The 21,887-nt window shown below is 37.5% G+C and overlaps 1 protein-coding gene across 2 annotated transcripts in view, besides 2 other annotated features; it reads right to left on the minus strand.

Moving 5' to 3' along the window:
- Nucleotides 1-21,887, minus strand: part of DARS1 (aspartyl-tRNA synthetase 1) — a 79,804-nt gene that overhangs the window by 41,960 nt on the left and 15,957 nt on the right. For both annotated transcript variants that reach the window (NM_001293312.1, NM_001349.4), the window contains one exon: nucleotides 13,556-13,658. In NM_001293312.1, the coding sequence (NP_001280241.1) occupies nucleotides 13,556-13,575 (20 nt within the window). In that variant the 5' untranslated portion in view covers nucleotides 13,576-13,658. The remainder of the gene's footprint in view (nucleotides 1-13,555; nucleotides 13,659-21,887) is intronic.
- Nucleotides 12,885-13,085: a silencer, noted in NCBI's record as "peak3879 fragment used in MPRA reporter construct". NCBI's record gives its function as "represses an SCP1 promoter by STARR-seq MPRAs in K562 erythroleukemia cells {active_cell/tissue: K562}" and the evidence as "EXISTENCE:reporter gene assay evidence [ECO:0000049][PMID:32103011]".
- Nucleotides 13,121-13,622: an enhancer, noted in NCBI's record as "NANOG hESC enhancer chr2:136718531-136719032 (GRCh37/hg19 assembly coordinates)". NCBI's record gives its function as "activates a minimal SCP1, AML or CMV promoter by ChIP-STARR-seq in naive H9 embryonic stem cells {active_cell/tissue: H9 hESC(naive)}" and the evidence as "EXISTENCE:reporter gene assay evidence [ECO:0000049][PMID:30033119]".

Here is a 21,887-nt window from a genome sequence, read left to right on the forward strand (position 1 = left end):
AAAACAACAACAACTGAAAATAATAGGCCCTTTAGTAATAGTTTCCCAAATGTCCAGGAATCATACTACCTTCCCCAGTAACACTGATGTATCTTGATGTTTTGCTGTTGTTGCCAACCTTAGTAGAAATTCAGCAAAATCTTTAAATAATAATTTCATATTGTTTTATACAAAGTTATATTTAGCCCAGGAGAATTAATCCCACAAACGATCTGAAAATTTCTGACAGCAGATTTTAGACCCGTTTTTTTTCTTAGCACACCTTTAGCATTATCCAAATTTTCAATACAGATGTTGCAGTGGACAGGACTGAAAATAGAAGCTGTTTTTCCTCTAACAGATAAATACCCTGTTCCAACAAAGAGGTATAAAATGTAGGTGCAACTGTTCAAGGAGTTGCAATACACAACAGTATAATGGCCTTGCCTACATTCACCAACTTATCCATATGGATGCTCAAGGGGTATCCACATGCACACCTCTCTTTGGGCCTCAACTACAGACAATATACACTCCTATCACAGCACCTGTATACCCTGCCTCTGCATGCAGTTGTTTATCTCCCTTGCCCTCTCCCAAAATTAAGCTTCTCCTAAGATATATATGACACACATAAATCTTTGCATACTCAAGCCCAGCAGAGTACCTGGACCAGAGCACGTGCTAAATACAAGTTTGTAAAAATCAATGAGACTTCTTCTGAGTATTATTTTGGTATTTTCCAGATCTAATAGTTAATGTAGGCTGGGTACAGTGGCTCATGCCTGTAATCTCAGCACTTTGGGAGGCCAGGGCGGGTGGATCACTTGAGGTCAGGAGTTTGAGAGCAGCCTGGCCAACATGGTGAAACCCCGTCTCCACTAAAAGTACACAAAAAAAATTTAGCTGGGCGTGGTAGCGTGTGCCTGTAGTCCTAGATACTCGGGAGGCTGAGGTAGAGAATCGCTTTAACCTGGGAGGCAGAGGCTGCAGAGAGTCAAGATTGTGCCACTGCATTCCAGCCTAGGTGACAAAGCGAGACTCCGTCTCCCGTCTCCAAAAAAAAAAAAAAAGTTAATGTAGCAAACTGAAATTTTAACCTACCAACTAGTAAAACACCTATTTTAGGTGAAAGATCTAGAAAGGAAAGAAAATAAACAAACTTGTAGGTAGCTAGGTGACTCATTAGAGAATGAGAAACATACTTGTGACTCATCAGCTACCAATAAATCATTTAACCACAATGACTAATATAAAGAAAAATAAAATAAAATATATATGTATACACATAATGGTACTAAAAAAGGCTTATTTTCAGAATCAGAATACCTCTATGTTTGGGGAGAGTGGGAAGTATTATATAAGCACAAACAGCGATATATAAATTTTAACTTTAAAACTACTTTTCACATTAATTGTAGTCCTTTATAGTGGGCACTGTAACTTTAAACTTTAAAAACTTGTGTTTACACTCACTGTCCTCTCTAACAGTCAATACAAAAAGGCCTCCAGGACTTCCTTTAAAAAAAAACTGGCTTTATAACACTTAACCAAAACTAACACAAACTACTCTGTTAATTACTTTAAAATGGCACACATACAAAAAAATTTTTTTTAAAAGAATAAAGGGATAATATCTCAACTTCAGGATCAACTATTAAATATTAGATAAGATGGGGATCCAGAAATACAGGCCTGGATAGATGGGTATTGCATCTTCCTGCTTCTAGACAAATTTCATTTAAAAACCTCAAACCATTTCAGATATATAATTAAGAACCTGTTCCTAGAACCTCTAGGGAATTAGATGTGCCAACCTTCCTATGTAACTCATTCAATTGCTTCATTTTTATATGCATTCATCCATGAGAAAATTGATCTTTCCAACAAATTGATTAAAATAATGTGTGAAGAGTCCTGTGGCACTTAAATCCAATTAGTGAATCAACTTTTTAGATTACTCTATTGATGAATTGGATATTCCTAAGACAGACAATTTGAGGCAAAATAGTTGGCTCCGTATTAAATTCCAATGTTTCTTTTAAGGAAAATACTCCAAAGCTAGAAACTGCTAGTAGTATTGTCTAGCCAGTAAGGCAAAAGATAAGCACTTCAGATTTAATATCTAAAGTAAATGCTAAGATCGTTATCTACTTAAGATATTAAAAGTGACCTCATATTTTGCCTTTTAAATGATTAAGAAACCCCAGCTGGAACTATCTGATTTGATATTTTTAATAGCACAGTCCTTGCTTTTTTCCACCTGGTATATGGCCAGAGGGAATAGAGTTAAATATAGGGCTTCATGGAATTAACATATAAACACCATTGTTTCTCCCACTTTGTTGTGTATGAGTTCACATGCTTTAATGTCCAGTCTCTTTGGGCAGTAACATTCAAAATGGAAACGAAACATCTTGAAAATAAACAAATAGTCCTAAGGCACTCCTCTAGCTCCAAGCATTTTATATATAACAACTGATCTAAGACAGAATTAAAATTAAATGGAGATTAGAAATGGCCTTTTCCTCACAGACATATTTCTCTCCATACTATTTTCCAAACCAGATTCTGGCAGAATAGTTAGCTCGTTCACTAACTGAGCTGCTAGCTTCCCAAAGAGAATGTGTTACTAACTAAATATTCTTCTGAATTATCTCATGCTTCATTGATCCTCAAGTTTCTAAGTAAAGATTTTTGTTTTATTTAAGCAACAGAACTCACTAGAATTGGTTTAGATGTTGGTGATGTACTGTTTTTAATAATAACAGAAGGGTGGTAGAATACTAAGCAATGGAACTCAGTGCTTTCCAAATTTTGCCTTTCCAATTATACTTAGAAACTAAGAGATAAAGAGGAATGAGATCCTGAAGAGGTCAGTGAAACAACGAAAACACAGGCACAGCCCATAAACCTCTATTTTCATTATAAAGTAGAATATACACTAGTGGGCCCAGCTGAGGAATAGGAATCAGTTGTCATGCCATGAACACACAGGATACTCTAGCCTGGTGTTAGATGATGGAATCAGGAGTCTTTGGGACAGGGGAGTTTGTAGGGTGTTTGTGGGGCAAGAGAAACAAAGGGGCGGGGAACAGTGGATAAAGGTGCAGAGCGTAGTTTCAGGAATGGAGCATGGGGCCACATGAGGTCAGGAAGAGGCTGAAAAGACTGGGAGAGAATGTGGAGATGGATAAAAAGACTAGAAGTCTTGATGAGGTCCAACGGAAAATGAGGCAGCCTGGGGGAGGCAGATTGGTGGAAATTATAATCAGAGGATTATTGGGTAAAACAACCTGTTGGGCTTTTTCTAAACTCAAAAGCCTGGAACTTCTCTTCAATTAACTCGATATAGTTAAGCTTAGGAAACACTACTGGCTGCCTGCCCAATGGACTTGCCTTCTTCTTTGCTAAAGGGGCTAGCTTCACTCCTCTTTGGTGTCTACTCTATATTTGGCCAAGTGCCATATGGGAAGATGAGCCCATCTCAGTTCCAAAGAGTGGGTCATGTGTACTCTCAGTCCATGTTGGCAATTTATTCCAGATTAATGGTGTCACTTCCACTTAGTTTCTCAAACCAGTAATTTTCTAATTCATTATTTTCCTTACCCCCACACATAAGTTGTAAGCAAACAGATAAGATTCATGTTTTATCCATTCACTAGCAAACCCTGTTGTCACTTTCAAGAGTACAGTTTTGCTATAAAGCTTGTTTTGAAAATGTGAATTTGTTTCAACATCGTTGACACATTAGGGAACAATTTGAGTATAATGAGAATTTTGCTTTTGCCTATGCCAGATTTCATCAGTGAGAACACTCGGTCAATGCAGACAACAACACTTGGGTGCACTCGGCCATGCAGGAATATACAAAATGCACACACCTTAAACATCTACTTGTAACTCATGTTATGAGCCATACCCATCCACATCTGGTGTTACAACTTTCCCTCTGATTTCAGACACTGTTCCTTCCATCACTTCAAAATAACTTACAAACTGCCTTTCTTTTGATACCCACTTCCACAAGCAAACTGCACATTTTTTTCAAGGTAAAATGCTATATTTATTGTAGTATTTATGTATTTCTTAACCATTCAACGAGTATAAAACTGTTACCTTTAAGAAGTTAGGTTACTGGCCGGGCTTGGTGGCTCATGCCTGTAGTCCCTGCACTTTGGGAGGCTGAGGCGGGTGGATCACCTGAGGTGAGGAGTTCAAGACCAGGCTGGCCAACATGATGAAACCCTGTCTCTACTAAAAATACAAAAATTAGCTGGGCGTGGTGGTGGGCGCCTGTAATTTACCCAGCTACCCAGGAGGCTGACGCAGGAGAATCGCTTGAACCTGGGAGGCAGAGGTTGCAGTAAGCCGAGATTGCACCACTGCACTCCAGCCTTGGCAACAAGAGTGAGACTCCGTCTCATCTTTTCAAAAAGTATGCCATTAATGAAGTTTTTTTTTTTAAATTGACACATAATTGTACATATTTATGAGGTACAGTGTGATGTCTCCATATATGTACACATCGTGTAAAAATCAAATCAGAGCATTTGGCATATCTATCACCTCAAACATTTATCACTTCCTTGTGGTGAGAACTTCCCAAATTCTCTCTTCCAGCTGTTTTGAAATATGCAATATTGTTAACCATAGTTACCCTACTGTGCAAGAGAACACCAGAACTTACTCTTCTTCCTATCTGTAATTTTGAACAGACTGACCAATCTCTCCCTCATCCCCCTCTGCCCCCCACCAACTATTCTCTCTACATCTATGTGATCAACATCTTTAGCACATGAGATCATCCAGTATTTCTCTGTGTCCAGCTTATTCCACTCAACATAATGCTCTGCAGGTTCATCTATGTTGCCACAAATGACAAGATTTCACTTTTTATGGCTGAATAGTATTCCAGAGTGTATATATCCCACACTTTATCCATTCATCTGTTGAAGGAAACTTAGGTTGAATCCATATCTTGGCTATGGTGAATGGTGCTGCAATAAATATTGGAGTGCAAATATGTATCTCTCTTTGACATAATCATTTCATTTCCTTTGAATAATTACCCCATAATGGGATTACTGGATCATATGGTAGTTCTATTTTTAATTTCTCATGAGCCGCCATACCGTTTTCCATAGAGGCTATACTAATTTACATTCCCACCAATAGTGTATGAGGGGTTTCCCTTTCTCCACATCAAGTTTTTGAGTGTTATGCCATTAATCTCATTTTCTCCATAAACACTGTGGTTTTTATTGCACAATTTTGCATAGGACGGTTAGTTTTAGGAATGCGTATGTCACATAGCAGAACTGACAGTACATTAGCACACTCTACAAAAAGCTAATCTAAAAGGACACCCATACCTAAATGTTCCAAGATCTCTTCTCCCTTGCTGTTGATGGAGCAATTCTAGGAAAGGACTTTAGTTGGTACAAGTGTCTAACAAAGCGCCTGCAATTAGATGTGTTAAGGAACAGTATTAGTTATCCAGCCAAATCCTTTCTATTCTTTCCTGCATCCACAATCTTAGTAAAAGATAAATTCTTATTTTAAATTCTGAGTCTGTGGTTTTATTTTCAACATCAGTGGCATACACCACACAGCTGCTTTTTTGAGTGACTTTGTGCCTTACTTCTCAAGAGAGTGATACAAAGGTGCAAAACGTATTGTGTTGTGTTAATGGCAGTGCTGATAAGAAAAAAAAGCCCAAAGCCTAAGCAAAAGTAGATGCAATTGATTATTAGATTTGCCTCTAGTGGTGTTAGGTTTCATGTTTTTAACTATCAAAATTTTTCTTATTGAGATTATTCAGGAAGAATAACTGTCACTGAAAACATGAAACTCTCTAGGTTCCAACTCCCTGTCCCTCCCCCTTATTTTTAGAGCATGCTTTTTAACAATAGGGTGATTCCTTAGAAGGCAGCTACTGCTTTATAGTGGAAGAGACAAACTCATTAGTGTTACTAATGGTTAAAAATAAATTCCTCCTTTGGAATTTTTAGCAGGAATTTATCACTCAAACATAAAAATATTTTTTATTACTTTATAATCAGATCCACTTTTTATTTATTTTTAATTTTTATTTATTTATTTAATTTTTTTTTTTGTAGCGACAGGGTTTTGCCATGTTGACCAGGTTGGTCTTGAACTCTTGGGCTCAAGTGATCCTCCTACCTCAGTGTCCTAAAGTGCTGGGATTACAGGCATGAGTCACCACGCCTGGCCCAGTTCTATTTTTTAAACTAAACTTTTTTCCCTTTAGTTTTGACTCGTAATACCTTGGGAGCAGTGTCTAGCTAACAAACTGTATTCTAAATGGAGCTATAATGTGGAGGGTTTTGATCTAACACCATTACACACTATTTCAGAGAGGCAGGATGACACAGAGACTAGAGTGTGAATCCAGAATCTAAGAGACCTTAGTCAAGACACTTAATATTTCACATCTCGATTTCCTCACCTGAAAACAAAAACAAAACCAAAAAAACAAAACCAAAAAAAAAAAAAAAAAAAAGAGAGAGAGAACAGAACCAACCTCCTCTCCGCCCCAAAACAAAAAAAGACAAAAACAGTATTTACACCTCATGGGGCTGTTGTGTGGATCAAGTGAGAAAAAAATCTGGCACTTTGTGGCTCCACGCTTAGTATAGAATAAGAGTCAGTTATTATAAGGGAACCTGTTATTTCCCCTGTACATCAACTGGGGAAGATGCTGGTGACCACTGTACTGTAACTTTTGGGTCTGGTACAGGGACTAACAGAGAAGAGGCATCCAAATAAGCATAAAAATCCATGCTAGACACTGGAAAGGTGGCAAAATAAAGCAAGTGTAGTTACTATACTGAGTTTTAATTTCAGATTAAGCTTCTTAAATATTAAAAATAATATTTCACATGCAACGAGTCTGGTATGTGGTAGGGGATGGGTTTTCCATGACCTTTCATCTAAAAAATACATGACACCTGCTACAGAGGTCGAGGAAGAGTAGCCCATCATTATTCACATAATCTATCAATAAACCCAAGATGACAGAAGATGGGCAGCATAACCTTTACACTAATAGTGTTACCTTTTATTTCTCATCATTCTAGGTACCACAGATTTAAGCACCTTGAAGTATTTCATTATACTAGATAGTCTCAATAAAGGCCTAAAATATAACAGAAATCCTATATATTGATGTATTCTGATTGTCTTGTTAACAGTAGGGATAAACTTGGCAGTTGGTAGAGACTGGGGGATGACCAAATTTTATTTTTGGGTAGTCATCGGCTCATATTTTTCTAAACTATTTCCATTTATTACCACCACCAAAAAAAAAAAAAAAAGTCAATAATGGTGAAAGAGACACTATGTACATTAAGTTTTTCCATTTGCGTATTTATATATCCTTATATCAACAAAAACTACTAAAATTTTTAACACAGAAACTTGACTATTAAAGATTTTCAGCAAAACCGATACATTTTTTAGCTTTCTGGTTGTCAGAAATAATGTGTTAAATCTTACTATATACTCAATGATAAATATACTTACAGATCTACATAACCACCCACATTCAAATGAGTAATTTTTAAATCTTTGCAAGGGGGGTGAAAAAAGATTAGTTAGAAAAGAGGCATGCCATAAAGTTGTCACACACCAGTTCTTCAAATAATGCACCAACATAAAATGCTTCAATGTTATAAATTAAATGTACAATTCACTGAGGCAAAGAAGTACAAAATGCCCAAACACAAGAAACCACGTATTTGCTAATTAAAACAGCATCAAAAGAACAAAAATAAATTAGGTAAGTACTTCAAAAAATAATAAAACCACCACCTTTTGAAAATAAAAATCTTTTTTTTTTTTTTTTTTTTTTTTTTTTTTTTAGACAGGGTCTCGCTCTGTCACACAAGCTGGAGTGCTGTGGCACAATCTCAGCTCACTGCAACCTTCGCCTCCCAGGTAGCTGGGGACTACAGGCTCACACCACCATGCCTGGCTAATTATTCTGACTTTTTTGGTAGAGATGATGTTTCACCATATTGCCCAGGCTGGTTTTGAACTTCTGGGCTCAAGTGATCTGCCTGCTTTGGCTTCCCAAAGTGCTGGGATTATAAGTGTGAGCCACCACGCCCAGCCATATGTTTCAATTCTAAGGTAAGCATAAGCTTCATTTATAGGTCAAGCACTTCTTTCAATTATAGTGAATTAGTACCACACTAGACCTCAGACTTTTATATTTCTCACGCAAGTAGAAATAAGTGTTTGAATCAGCATCTTAGCTTTGAAGAATGAGTTAAGATAAGCAAACAGTAAACAATGTAAGAAGTCACATGGTTGTGTCAGGGAAAACCAGAGATGGACAATACTTAAAGTGGTAAAAACAAATTTTATTCAAGATTATTGCAATAGGGGAAAAGAGATCTGAGTATAGAACTAGGCTTAACTTTGAATACACGATTGGCAAGTGGAAACTTAGACCCAAAGATGGGAATATAGAGTCAGTGGATGGAAAATTACTAAGAGGAGCCATCAGGAGAAACAGAAGATTCTGGCTAAAATGACCTAACAGGATTCTTGTTGAAGGCAGGCGAGGGTGATCAGACATCACCTGAGGGATGGTGGAGGAGAAGGAACCCAATTAGCTATGGCGGGTGATCAGATACTGAGGGGGGATGACAGGGGTTATAGTTAAAGCAACTCAGCAGGATTCTTACTAAAACTGAACAATGCAGGCATAAACATGAAGTAAAAAAGTCGAGGCTTACCGGAGCAGAAAGTTCTTTCAAAGGAATCTGAGGAGAGTTTGGTCAATGAGGGACTCTTTGTCACTAGTCAGTAGGGAACTAAATCCTTGCGTTCTCTCTACCTCTATTACACCCATCTGTCCACTGATGCTTTGCAAAAATTAAAGATTTAAATCATTCTTTAAACCATGATAACTTATTTATTTATTTTTTTTGAGATGGAGTCCTACTCTGTCGCCCAGTCTGGAATGCAATGGTGTGATCTCGGCTCACTGCAACCTCCATCCCCCAGATTCCAGCAATTCTCCTGCCTCAGCTTCCCGAGTAGCTGGGATTAGAGGCGCCTACCACCACACCTGGCTATTTTTTTTTATTTTTAGTAGAGACGGGGTTTCACCATGTTGGCCAGGTTGGTCTTGAACTCCTGACCTCAGATGATACACCCACCTTGGCCTTCCATAGTGCTGGGATTACAGGTGTGACCAACCGCGCCCGGCCTGTGATAACTTATTTTTTAAGCCAGAGTCTTGCTCTGTTGCCCAAGCTGGACTGCGGTGGCACAATCACAGCTCACTGCAGCCTGGATCTCCTGGGCTCAGGTGATTCTCCCACCTCAGCCTCCAGAGTAGATGCGACTACAGGTGCATGCAGCCATATCCTACTAATTTTTTTTTTTTTTGAGACGGAGTCTCGCTCTGTCGCCCAGGCTGGAGTGCAGTGGCACAATCTTGGCTCACTGCAACCTTCGCCTCCTGGGTTCAACCGATTCTCCTGCCTCAGCCTCCCGAGTAGCTGGGACTACATGTGCCCGCCACCATGCCTGGCTAATTTTTTGTATTTTTAGTAGAGACGGGTGTTAGCCAGGATGGTCTTGATCTCCTGACCTCGTGATCTGCCCGCCTCGGCCTCCCAAAGTACTGGGATTACAGGTATGAGCCACCACGCTCGGCCGACTAATTTAAAAAAAATTTTTTTGGTAGAGATGGGGTTTCGCCATGTTGGCCAGGCTGGTCTCAAACTTCTGGGTTCAAGTGAACGGCCCATTTTGGCCTCCCAAATTGCTGGGATTACAGGCATGAGCCACCATGCCCAGCTGATCCAAAATAAGCGTGGTGAGAAGTATGCACTACTCAACAAGGCACAGACCAGCAGTTCTAAAACTACTCTATAGGTTCTCTTTAGTGGAATAAAAAATGTCAGCAAACCCCATTAATCACTTAAATAAGTTCTGTCATGTTACTTAAAGACCTACAAATACCAAACTACTGTAAATGCTTATGCTTATAGCCCTTAACTTTAAAATAGAAATAAATTTTTAAATAAAAACAAAATTCAAATTAATAAGTAATATTAATTTTTAATTTCACTAAAACTAAATTGCTGACATTTGGTTTACTCTATAAAGCTTGTAGCCTTAGAGCCAGTTCCATAATTAATTTGTTTCTGTATTCTGACTTCAATACTAGTAATGGGAAGAATACCTGTTCAGTTACCTAAAACATTAACTTTGAGGTAGAGTCAGGATATTTCAGCTTCACAATTAACCAAAATTCTGCAAAGAGTAATCTAAGAATGACAATTTAAATAAAGTATCAGTCAATCATTTTATAAAACTGTCTTACTTATGTGAAAGTTAATGTGGCATTGTTAGTTAAAATTTGTATCAAATGAATTATCAAGTATCTGAACTTAACTGGAACTAGAAATAGAAACATTTTTCCTTGCATCCAACTGTTATACTACTAGTGATCTGCTGCCTAAACAAGTGACCTCAAAGATAAATGTATGAAAGCTACCTTAATTTTTGCTTTCACAATTTTAGCGCATACCCATTTTATGCGCTAAAACACAGTTAACAATTTTTAGGAAAAGGATTTTAAAAGACAAAGAAAAACCCCATATATCTTTTCCCTAAAAAAGTTCTAAAAAGTTCTTGCCGAAGTCTAAAAGTAGACTTCTCCTACCAAGAAGGATCAGGATTTCTGAACTATCTTAGAAGTATAGGTTACATCACACAGAAAGGACAAACTGACTGACCCATCTGGAACATAAAATCATGTTCCTAAGAAAATTATCTTAACCAACTACAAAACCTAAAAACTCATCATTTTTTGCCAACGAGTCTTAGCCATAAGAATTTTCCTTTTTCGCAAGATAGCAAAAGCCATTAACCCACCTACTGGTAATTATTCAGGCTCGATTCCTTAACATGCTAGTGCCAAAAGTTTAATAATAGTTATCTATGTACCACATGTTGAACCTATTGTATAAAATTGGCTCCATTCACTTACATATAACCAGTGACAAGGTTTATAATTTGGAACAGCTCAACCTTTTCCTACACATTGCTACTTTATATAAAGTCCATTTTTTAAAGGGACTAAAAATAGCTGCATGTCCTTTGCTTAAAAAAAAAAAAATCAAGTCACAATTTAGTTAAGCCTGAACTGCATCTAGATCCTTATGGAGTTCCACTTCAGGAATTAAAAAATCTAGGCTAAATTACCTATATTCTTCCCTTGTCTAAAAGAAAGATCACCCATGGCCGGCTGCGGTGGCTCATGCCTGTAATCCCAGCACTTTGAACAGCTGAGGCGGGCGGATCACCTGAGGTTGGGAGTTCAAGACCAGCCTGACCAACATGGAGAAACCTCGTCTCTACTAAAAATACAAAAGTAGCTGGGCATGGTGGTGGCATATGCCTGTAATCCCAGCTACTGGGGAGGCTGAGGCAGGAGAATTGCTTGAACCGGGTAGGAGGTTGCGATGAGCGGAGACCACGCCATTGCACTCCAGCCTGGGCAACAAGAGTGAAACTCCGTCTCAAAAAAAAAAAAAAAAAAAAAAAAAAAAAAAAAAAAAAAAAGATCGCCCGTATATCATCCCATTTGGATGAAAGCCTTTAATAAAATAATGATAAAAAGATGTTCTTTAATTTTATGAGGGCATTAGTGAACTAAGTTCTGTTTGGGAGACCATTTGAAAGTAGCTCTTTTAGCTATTAAGCTATGGTTGACATCTGATATAGTCAATCGCTGTTATTTAGTCAAGTCCCAGGAGTTTCTGAGAAGATCCAAAATAATAGGAATAACTTATTTGCGGAGTACTTTAACGTGTCTGCTTCTAAACACATCACATGGATTAACCGTCCACTTGTCAGTAGAATGCCTCTCACTGAATATTATGGGTAACTGGGATTTTCAAAAGGCTTTTCCACTGGAAGCTTTAGGAATGTAACGCCGAGGTTATAATGCAGTTTAATGGAAAAATATATTCTCTATGTAACTGTCGGCTTCATGTATTAGTTTTCAAAACCAAATTATTATACAAAAGTTGTTTGTTGATTTGAGGTTGACTTTTTTCCAGTATTTTTCAGTATATTTAATAGAATTTAGCATCTATGTCTGCGGTTTCCAGGACCATCTTTTTTTCTTTTATAGAAGGTTCTCTGTGCAGATAAAATTTCTAGGGACCAAGCTCATTTATGTTTGACTTCATAGGATACACACTAACCTTAAAAGGTTGGAAGACAAATGCACCCCACAAGCACACACTCTAACCAGGAGACGAAACAAGCAAACCTAATTACCAGAAGACACACGTAGAAGAAAAGTGGTCATCTCTGGGCAGCACTGGGAGATAGGGAGAGGTGGGGCTACTGTATTAGTAGTATTAAAATACTACTGATCTCATCAATGAATCGATACAATTCATGGCACTTAAGTTCTTAAATCCGAGTGCAGGTATTACTATGACGTAATTTGATAAATATCTAAACCAAAACCAGCTGCTGAGCATCCTTTATATGTATAACATTGTGCTAGAGGGTCAGGGAGGGCTGAAAGCTAAATTACGATATTGAATTAGATAATTTTTAAGTTTCTTTCCAATTCTAAAATTCATAATTCCATCTGTATTAACTCATTCTTAGAAAGCATGCATCTAAAAAGCAAACATTTAAAAAAATCAATAGAAAAAATATATCATTTACTCTGATTGAATTCTTTCTTTTAAAAAACACTTACACACTATGAAATTACTTTATTACTTAAAACACAAAGACCATCCATTTTCTCATGTTTTCTGAGATCATTATCATGGAAATAAAATTCTGATGAAATTGAAAAAAAACATGAAACAAAATTAGCCACATCACCACTACCAAGTAAAACAGCTCTCATCACCTTAGAGCCACTGCACACACAACCACACTTCTATCTCTATATCTGCCTCCTGCAAGCTGAACAAAACAATGTGCTGCTTCTACGGGAACTCTGAGCCAGACAGCCCAGACTTTTACAGGAGGAAAAAGCAAGTTTTACCTTTTTTCTCCTAAACCCTTTTGGTGTCAAAGCTAAAAGTTGTAAAACATTTGTTTTACTTCCTTCTGGAGGCAATCATTTGCCAAACTACATTCTTTTATTTTATATACTTTTATTTTTTGGTTAGAAAACTTGTTGCTCAACATGCAAATCTCAAACTGGGGGAGGGAGGGAAGGAGGGAGGAAATGAAGCTCAACAAACACAACAAAATAAAGTTGCTCTGCTATGTTGAGGCTGCCAGGCTTTTTGTTACTCTACTTGAAAGTAAATGTGACTTGTCTGTAGAGAGTGCTGCTTCAGCAGTTCCAAATGAATTTCAAGCCTGTGCTCCATATTTTCTCTTTTGTAAGTTTAATGTATTCAGCAACACTGAACTGACAATTTAAATAACTACATTTTTAAACAAACGAAGCATTGATGTTAATGTATGAAAATGGTCCAAACCCCTGGGAGTCTTGGTTCCCACCATTGTTTATTCTGACAACAGGATATAATTGCTTACTTACTTGGCAGCAAATTTAACCATCTGCTTGCTTGCATGGTCTCCCACCGCCACAAGAGCCTGGACATTAAACTGCTGCTGACGTAGGACTAAGAAGCACTGTTTCCCTGAAAAAGACAGAAAGAACACAAATGTATTAAGGACACGCAACTTCAGGTTTTACAAAGAAGGAAAATGCTCTCTACTTTAAAAGTGGGCCAAAATTTACTATACTCATCAGGCACGCATGCATGTGTATACTATCCATTTGGCTTCCACAGACAAAATACTCACACTCAACTGACAACCCTTAAAGAAACTCAAGTTCCTATGATGAGTAACAAGAAATGCTTTCAACTTGTTATAAGAACACAGGCAAATCACCAATTTCAAAAAAACTTCTAAATCAAGAAAATTATTTTGTCATTGCATTGATTTATTAAACAAATTTCAAGTAACTTGAGATCACTTTCAACATTCATTCAATAGTTAGTATATTCCACATGCAAAGGCACTGTACTACTATGGAAGTTTCAATACTGCAACCACAAAAGTGCTAACACAGTGCTTAAAAACAAGGACACAAACACTATGGGGTGGTCCATCTACAGAGTTTCTTCCTACCAAAGTACATTTTAAAGAGCATTTAAATTGACAGGCTAGTGCCTTTCATGTTCTACGTTCTTCATTTTTCCTTTATCACCTTCCTAGTCCTTCATATTTTATGAGTCTCGCATTTTTTTTTACTCCAAATAACTTATATTGTCTATTAAAGATCATTTTCTTCAAGCCCTATAACCAGTTTTATTTTTACATATCCTGGGCCTCTTTATTCCTTCTTCTTTGATAAAGAACTGTTACTCCTTATTCTTAACCTTCTGAAAAACATTATTCATAATATATTTCGTTATTATGTATCCTTGTGACATCCCTTTTTCCTCCAAAGCAGATCCTTCTTAAGTCTCTGATCAAATTCTGGGAAATTACTTCTTCATAAAAAATGGGTTAATCTCTCCAAGACCACTTTACACATCAGATTGTTTTGTAAAACATCACAAGATTTTGTTTTTTAAACTGAGCATTATATTTTACATTTAGAATGGGCCTTAACCAAAAGAAGAAAGAAAAAGGAAAGCAAAAATGCAAGCAGACTTACAGTTACTACTTTCAACATACAGTATTTTGAAATGCAAATCAGATAGCAATCACAAGTTAAAAAAGACAGGTTGCAAACAAAGTGTCAACACAGACATAATCTATTGACTTTAGAGTCATATATGATTGGCAGGTTTTTAACCACTAAAAAACACTCTTAATTTTCCCTTTTGCTTTGGAGGATGATCCAGTCACAAAGTAAAATCCTAAAAAACGAAGTTGTATTAATACAGGAAACAAATTCAAAGGAGTTTTAAAATATTGGAAGGACAAAGGTTATTACCACAGAGAAACTTGCAGATGAATAAAAATAACATTTTCCTAGGAACTACTACTGAAACCACAGCCACGTTACCCCACTTAGAAAAGTATGTTACTGTGAAATGGAAGGTAATGTGCACACGACAGTGCTAGGCTAAGCCATAATGTAGTCAGAGTGTATTAGCTACTCTAATAGTCCAGACAGAAGCAGCACCAACCTAGCTGCCTCACAAAGCTGTCCAGTGATAATTTCAGTGCTACACAAAGACCCTGGAGAAAGAATGGAGAACTCTAAAGGACTTACAAAGGGTGAGCACAGGATAAGTCTATGGGTCGGCACTAGGGGGTAACAATTAGTGTGTCTGGTAGAAAAAAAAGTAAAAGCTTTGAAATCAAAAGGCCTGGTATCATATCCTATCACTTCCTATGAAGGGGCCTGTGGGAAAATTATTAAACCACTTTATATCTCAGTTCTTCATCTGGAAAATGGAGACGGTAAGAGTCATGAGGTTTTCTTTCATAATCATAAGGATTTTATAATATGTTTAAAGTTGAGACGGAGCCCAATTAATGTTAACTATTAATGACTTTTTTTTTTTTTTGAGATGGAGTTTTGCTCTTGTTGCCCAGGCTGGAGTCCAATGGCGCTACCTCAGCTCACTGCAACCTCCGCCCCCCGGGTTCAAGCGATTCTCCTGCCTCAGCCTCTTGTGTAGCTGGGATTACAGGCACGTGCCACCAGGCCTAGCTAATTTTTGTATTTTTAGCAGAGATGGGGTTTCACCATGTTGGCCAGGCTGGTCTCGAACTCCTGACCTCAGGTGATCCACCCACCTCAGCCTCCCAAAGTGCTGGGATTACAGGTGTGAGCCATCGCGCCTGGCCTATTAATGACTTCTTTTTTTTTTTTTGAGATGGCATCTCGCTCTGTTGCCCAGGCTGGAATGCAATGGCATAATCTCGGCTCACTGCAACCTCCACCTTCTGGGTTCAAGCAATTCTCCTGTCTCAGCCTCCTGAGTAGCTGGGACTACAAGTGCCTACCACCACACCTGGCTAATTTTTGTATTTGTAGTAGAGACGGGGGCTTCACCATATTGGTCAGGCTGGTCTCGAACTCGTGACCCCAGGTGATCCACCCGCCTTGGCCTCCCAAAGTGCCGGGATTACAGGCGTGAGCCACTGCGCCTGGCCTTAATGACTATTATTAGTAACACCACTACCACTGACTACTTATTTGATGATTAATTATCATTCCTTTTTCACAGCTGGATGACTATATACAAAAAGTATGCAGGGCGCTGGGAACACGAACGTAAGTATTTGTTAGAAAATCATGATAGACTCTTACATGAGGAAAAAGTGATAAAACCATATGTAACGTGTAATCCCAATTTTGTTTGTGTAAGAAGTATATTAAGATTGATCATATGGGGAAAAAAACCACCAAAATGTGGCTACCAATGAATGGTGAAATTATAGGAAATTGTTCTGTCCCTGTATTTTTCTGTATTTTCTGAACTTTCTACAATAAATATGCACTACTTTTCTAATCAGAATAAAAATTTTTTAAGAGAACTATACACTCACAGGTAGGTACAGAAGAAAGGTAAGGGCTGAAAGGAAATTTTGGCCAAGTTCAAAATTAAACACAAGCAGTAAGTAGAACCCGGGAAGTTTTAGACAGCTAAACATAGGAGCAAATGTACCTCCTAAGATTTGCATGCCTGCTAGAGAAAAGAAAGAAAATCAACGGTTATAAGTGAAGTGAAGGCCAGTCATGTTGGCTCACGCCTGTAATCCCAGCACTCTGGGAGGCCGAGGTGGGCGGATCACTTGAGGTCAGGAGTTCGAGACTAGGTTGGCCAACGTGGTGAAACCCCATCTCTACTAAAAATGCAAATATTAGCCGGGCGTGGTGGCAGGTGCCTGTAATACCAACTACTTGGGAGGTTGAGGCAGGAGAATTGCTTGAACCCAGCAGGCGGAGGTTGCAATGAGCTGAGATCGTGTCACTGCACTCCAGCCTGGGTAACAGAGCAAGACTCCACCTCAAAAAAAAAAAAAAAAAAAAAAAGAAGTGAAGAATGTTCACTATACCCTTTAAATGTTTACTGTGCTTATTAGATTTAATTCTAAAAAATTTTTCTTATTAAAAAAAGGCAACAGATGGGGGAGGAAGGGAATGAAGTAGTGAGAACAGTCTATGAGCATATTGTTTTACAAAAACCTATATAGTATGTAAAAGTGTGCCAGTACAAAAATAACCAGATCAATAGAACATAAGAAAAAATTGATAATAGACCGTATTAGATAAAGGAGATCCTAATTCTAAACAGAATTCAGGACATTACGAAATTTAAACAAACACCCCAACGAATACAGAGTAAAAAATGGAACTGAATATTAAACTATATCACGGAGGAAGGGAAAACTTTCTAAGTTTAAGAATGAAAGAACATCTATATACAAAATAAATCAAAGGAACAATAACACTGAGAAAAAATAAGTGCTGAACAGCATATAACCTATATAAATTAATCTTTTTAATACATAAGGATCTTAAAGATTTATGAGAAAAGAACACTGAGATCCCAATAGATAAACAGGCAATAGACCAAAACAGATAATCTGAAGGAACAAGAAAAAAACCATAGTAAGTAAATACCGTATAAGGAAAAAAATGTTACTGGTAATGCAAGTAATGCAAGTTGAAGCAAACAACGACAGATTATTTACCTCTCAAATGAGCAAAGATTTAAAAAATACAAAATATAAAATCGAATTATTACTCAATGCTTGGGAGAATTAAAATCGTAAAACCGTTCCTTTATAACTTGCTGAAGGCAGGGTAAATTTGTGTAATGCTTCTGGAGAACAATTTGGCAATAAGCATTAAAAGGCTTAAAAACGTTATCTTTGACTCAATAAATACATTTTTTAGAATATATGTTAAGGAAATTGAAACAGAACTACTTGTGACTAATGCTATGGTCCTCAAGCTTTCTACGTTCAAAGCACTTTAAAATACAAGAACCTTGATGGTCCACTTAAAATGATTTTTAAAGGACTCAAACAAACAAACAAACCATCAGTACTGGCTCCCTGGTAAATAGAACTGTCCACTCAGACTACTTCTCTATGAAGCACTTTTGAGACCAAGCTCTTGTCATGTATTAGGAAACAAAATTGTTCTTTCTTTGGCTCTGGTTGGTGACACACCTTACTGCATGATTAGCTTAGTTCCATGTTTTACAAGGCACTACCTTCCACATGCTGAGAGATAAACAGGAGCAGTGTGTACATGATCCTTTTTGTGCAAATTTAAAAAACAAAAAATATGGTCATGTCTGTATGTATATTTTGTCTGTCTGTAAATGTATTTTTTTTTTTTTTTCTGCAAGAACACACAAGAAAGAACAGTGGCTATTTTGCAGGGAAGAGACTGTGGTGAGATGGAGGAGAATCGTGAGACCTCTATTTCCATATCTTTTTCTACTACTGGAATTTTTATTTTTACCATACCCATAAATTACTTTCTATTTTAAGAAGCAAATATATAATTCCTCAGTTTAGTAAAAAGTTCTCACTTGAAAAGCTGGTATATGAACTTTAGAGGGCAGATTAATCAACTGCTAAATATTATTAATCTTTCTTCTTGGAACTTTCCAACACAAAAGACAGTTTATAGAAAACAAAGTCAGTGTTCAAAACAGCTGAATGAACTATCTTTTGATATTTTATTTGTTTTTGTTTTGTTTTGTTTTGTTGAGACAGAGTCTTGCTCTGTTGTCCAGGCTGGAGAGTAATGGCACGATGACTGCAACCTCTGCCTCCTGGGTTCAAGTGATTCTCCTGCCTCAGTCTCTCGAGTAGCTGGGATTACAAGCGTGTAATCCCATGCCTAACTAATTTTTGTATTTTTTTAGTAGAGATGGAGTTTCACCATGTTGGTCAGGCTGGTCTCGAACTCCTGACTTCAAGTGATCCACCTGCCTCAGCCTCCCAAAGTGTTGAGATTACAAGCCTGGTCTATCTTTTGATATTTTAAATTTAAATTCTTAACACTTAAAACTTTGTGCTGCATTTTGATTAAGTTTTCAGAAGAAGCAGTTTATTTCTTAAGTTTATATGGATGTAGTGTTTTAGAAAAATGTAAAGTCAGAAATTTTTTATCGTGAAGTCTTTATTTCTGAGCTGAAGAACAAACATGGTAGGTAGTTAGGACAAAAAGTTTCTTCTCAGCTCCATTATGGTGATGGCTCAGCAATGAAATAGGCCTTCATGGGAGAACCAGAGTATCAAAGATGTGAGGCAATCCTATGTTTTCATCTCTTCCTGCTGACTTTTAGCTTGCTAAGCCCCCTGGATTCATTATTTAGATAATGTACCTTAACTTCCTAATATCCAACCTTAATATTTTCCTTCATGATTTGTATTAATCAATTAGGGATTAAAACAACAAAGATCTCAACGTTCTGAAGTATTTTCCACTTATTGCTTCCCCTGAAATGTTCCTGCATAGATTTAAGTTGAAGTTATTTTGGAAGTGTAAGTAAGTTTTTAGGAAGAATAGTGCTGAAATAATTATTTTGTGCCAGTGCCTTCCACATGGTACGTATAAAATTTGAAAGGAATGACAGACATTCCAATTACTCTTTCAATATGCAGACTTATGCTCATATGTTTCACGCTTGAAAGAAACTAATTTTAAGCATATCATTAAGGTAAGAAATTTCTCCTTGCTCCTATTTAAAACACTTCACTTTAGGGATGTTATATATAAACCTACCATAAGAAATCTGATTTTCATTTTAAAAAATGTCTGAAACACTGCCCTTAAGGAAAAAATATACAGGCTTTTCTTGTTTTGTTTTTTTATACGAAGAGACTCTTATTTTTGCATTATAGGATTCTAAATGTCATACTTTTGACACTAGGATTTTGACACTTCCATTTCCTTATTCACAGTTTCTCAGGGCTTTGCTCTACTAGAAACTGCCACCATGAGTTGTTTCTTGAAGCCCAGCTTTAATATATTACTCCTGGGGTTAAAGCACACAAACGATCCCAAGTAAGTCATATTTATTGATATGATTTTTCGTACATAAGATATAGGAAGAAGAGGGTACTAGCAATCAGGGTTTTTGCAAATTCAGAGCACAAGATTTTATTCTTAAACACAATCTACGGCCGGGGGCAGTGGCTCACATCTGTAATCCCAGCACTTTGGGAGGCCAAGGTGGGCAGATCACCTGAGGTCAGGAGTTTGAGACTAGCCTGGCCAAAATGGTGAAACCCCGACTCTACTAAAAATATAAAAATTAGCTGGATATGGTGGTGCATGCCTGTAGTCCCAGCCAGCTACTTGGGAGGCTAAGGCAGGAGAATCACTTGAACCCGGCAGGTGGAGGTTGCAGTGAGTTGAGATCATATCACTGCACTCCAGCCTGGGCAACAGAGCAAGACTCTGTTTCAAAAAATAAATAAAGATAATCTACATTGGCAGAAATAAAAAACACTGACAATCACTGCTGACAAGTGTCTCAGTACGTTTTCTGTTGCTTGTAACAGAGTATCTGAAATTGGGTAATTTATATGGAAACAAACTTATTTTTTTAAAGTTCTGGAGGCTGGGAAGTCCAAAGTTGAAGGGACACAACTTGTAAGTGCCTTCTTGCTGGTGGGGACTCTGCAGAGCCCTAAGGTGGCAGAGGGCATCAAGGTGAAAAGCTGAGTGTGCTAGTTTAGGTCTCCTTATAAAGTCACTAATGCCACTCCTGTGATAATCCATTCAAGGGGGTAGAGCCCTCATGACCCAATCACCTCTTAAAGGCCTCACCTTTCAACAATGCCACACTGGGGATTCAGCTTTTTTTTTTTTTTTTTTTTTGAGACAGAGTCTCACTCTGTCACCCAGGCTGGAGTGTAGTGGTGCGATCTCAGCTCACTGCAACCTCCGCCTCCTGGGTTCAAGTGATTCTCATGCCTCAGACTCCCAGGTAGCTGGGATTACAGGCGTGTGCCATGATGCCCGGCTATTTTTTGTATTTTTAGTAGAGATGGGGTTTTACCATGTTGGCCAGGCTGGTCTTGAACTCCTGGATTCAAGTGATCCACCCTGCCTAAGCCCCTGAAGGTGCTGGGATTACACATGTGAGCCACCGTGCCTGACCAGGATTAAGTTTCAATATAGCATGGGAAAAATAACGAAACCATGGCAGCAAGGATGTGGAGAAAGTGGTACTGTGACATACCTGTGGGAATATATTTGAATACAACCTCTTGGGAGGATGATCTAGTATTAGAAATTTTAAAAATGCATATGCATGCCCTTTAACCCAGCAATTTCATTTCTATACACCCATCTTGGAGAAATACTACCTCGTGTAGATCTGTAACTAGTTATCATGGAAGGGTTTCCAAGAAACACTGTTAATTATTTTAAAAAGTTGAAAAATAATATGTAAAGTATAACAAGACATATTAAACATACACACATCCAAAATAAAACAAACTGTGTGTGTGGGTGTGTATGTGCACATACGTGCATTATAAAGATTTGGAAAGACACAGAACAAATTAAGAATGAATAATAAAAAAAAGAATGAATAGAAAAGGTTGGGGCAGAGGATAGGTAGTATAGAAGAAAAAAGGGAGTATCATTATTTCTGTATTCTTTTAAAGATTCGTGTGCAAGTATTAATGTATTATTTGAGTAACTTACATTAAGTATTATAACTTAGAATAGAATTTTCCAGTTAAAAATGATGAAGACCAGATTATAAATGCAAAATTCCACAAAAAGTAAGTTAAACAAGCACTATACTAAAAAAAAAAAAGCCACCCGCACCTTTGCCAAATTGAGTTTATTCAAAGAATCTAAAAATGGTTCAATGTTATAAAATACATTATTGTCACTCACTGCAATTACATAAAGT

This window comes from Homo sapiens, chromosome 2, assembly GCF_000001405.40.
Source record: "Homo sapiens chromosome 2, GRCh38.p14 Primary Assembly".
NCBI lineage: Eukaryota > Metazoa > Chordata > Mammalia > Primates > Hominidae > Homo > Homo sapiens.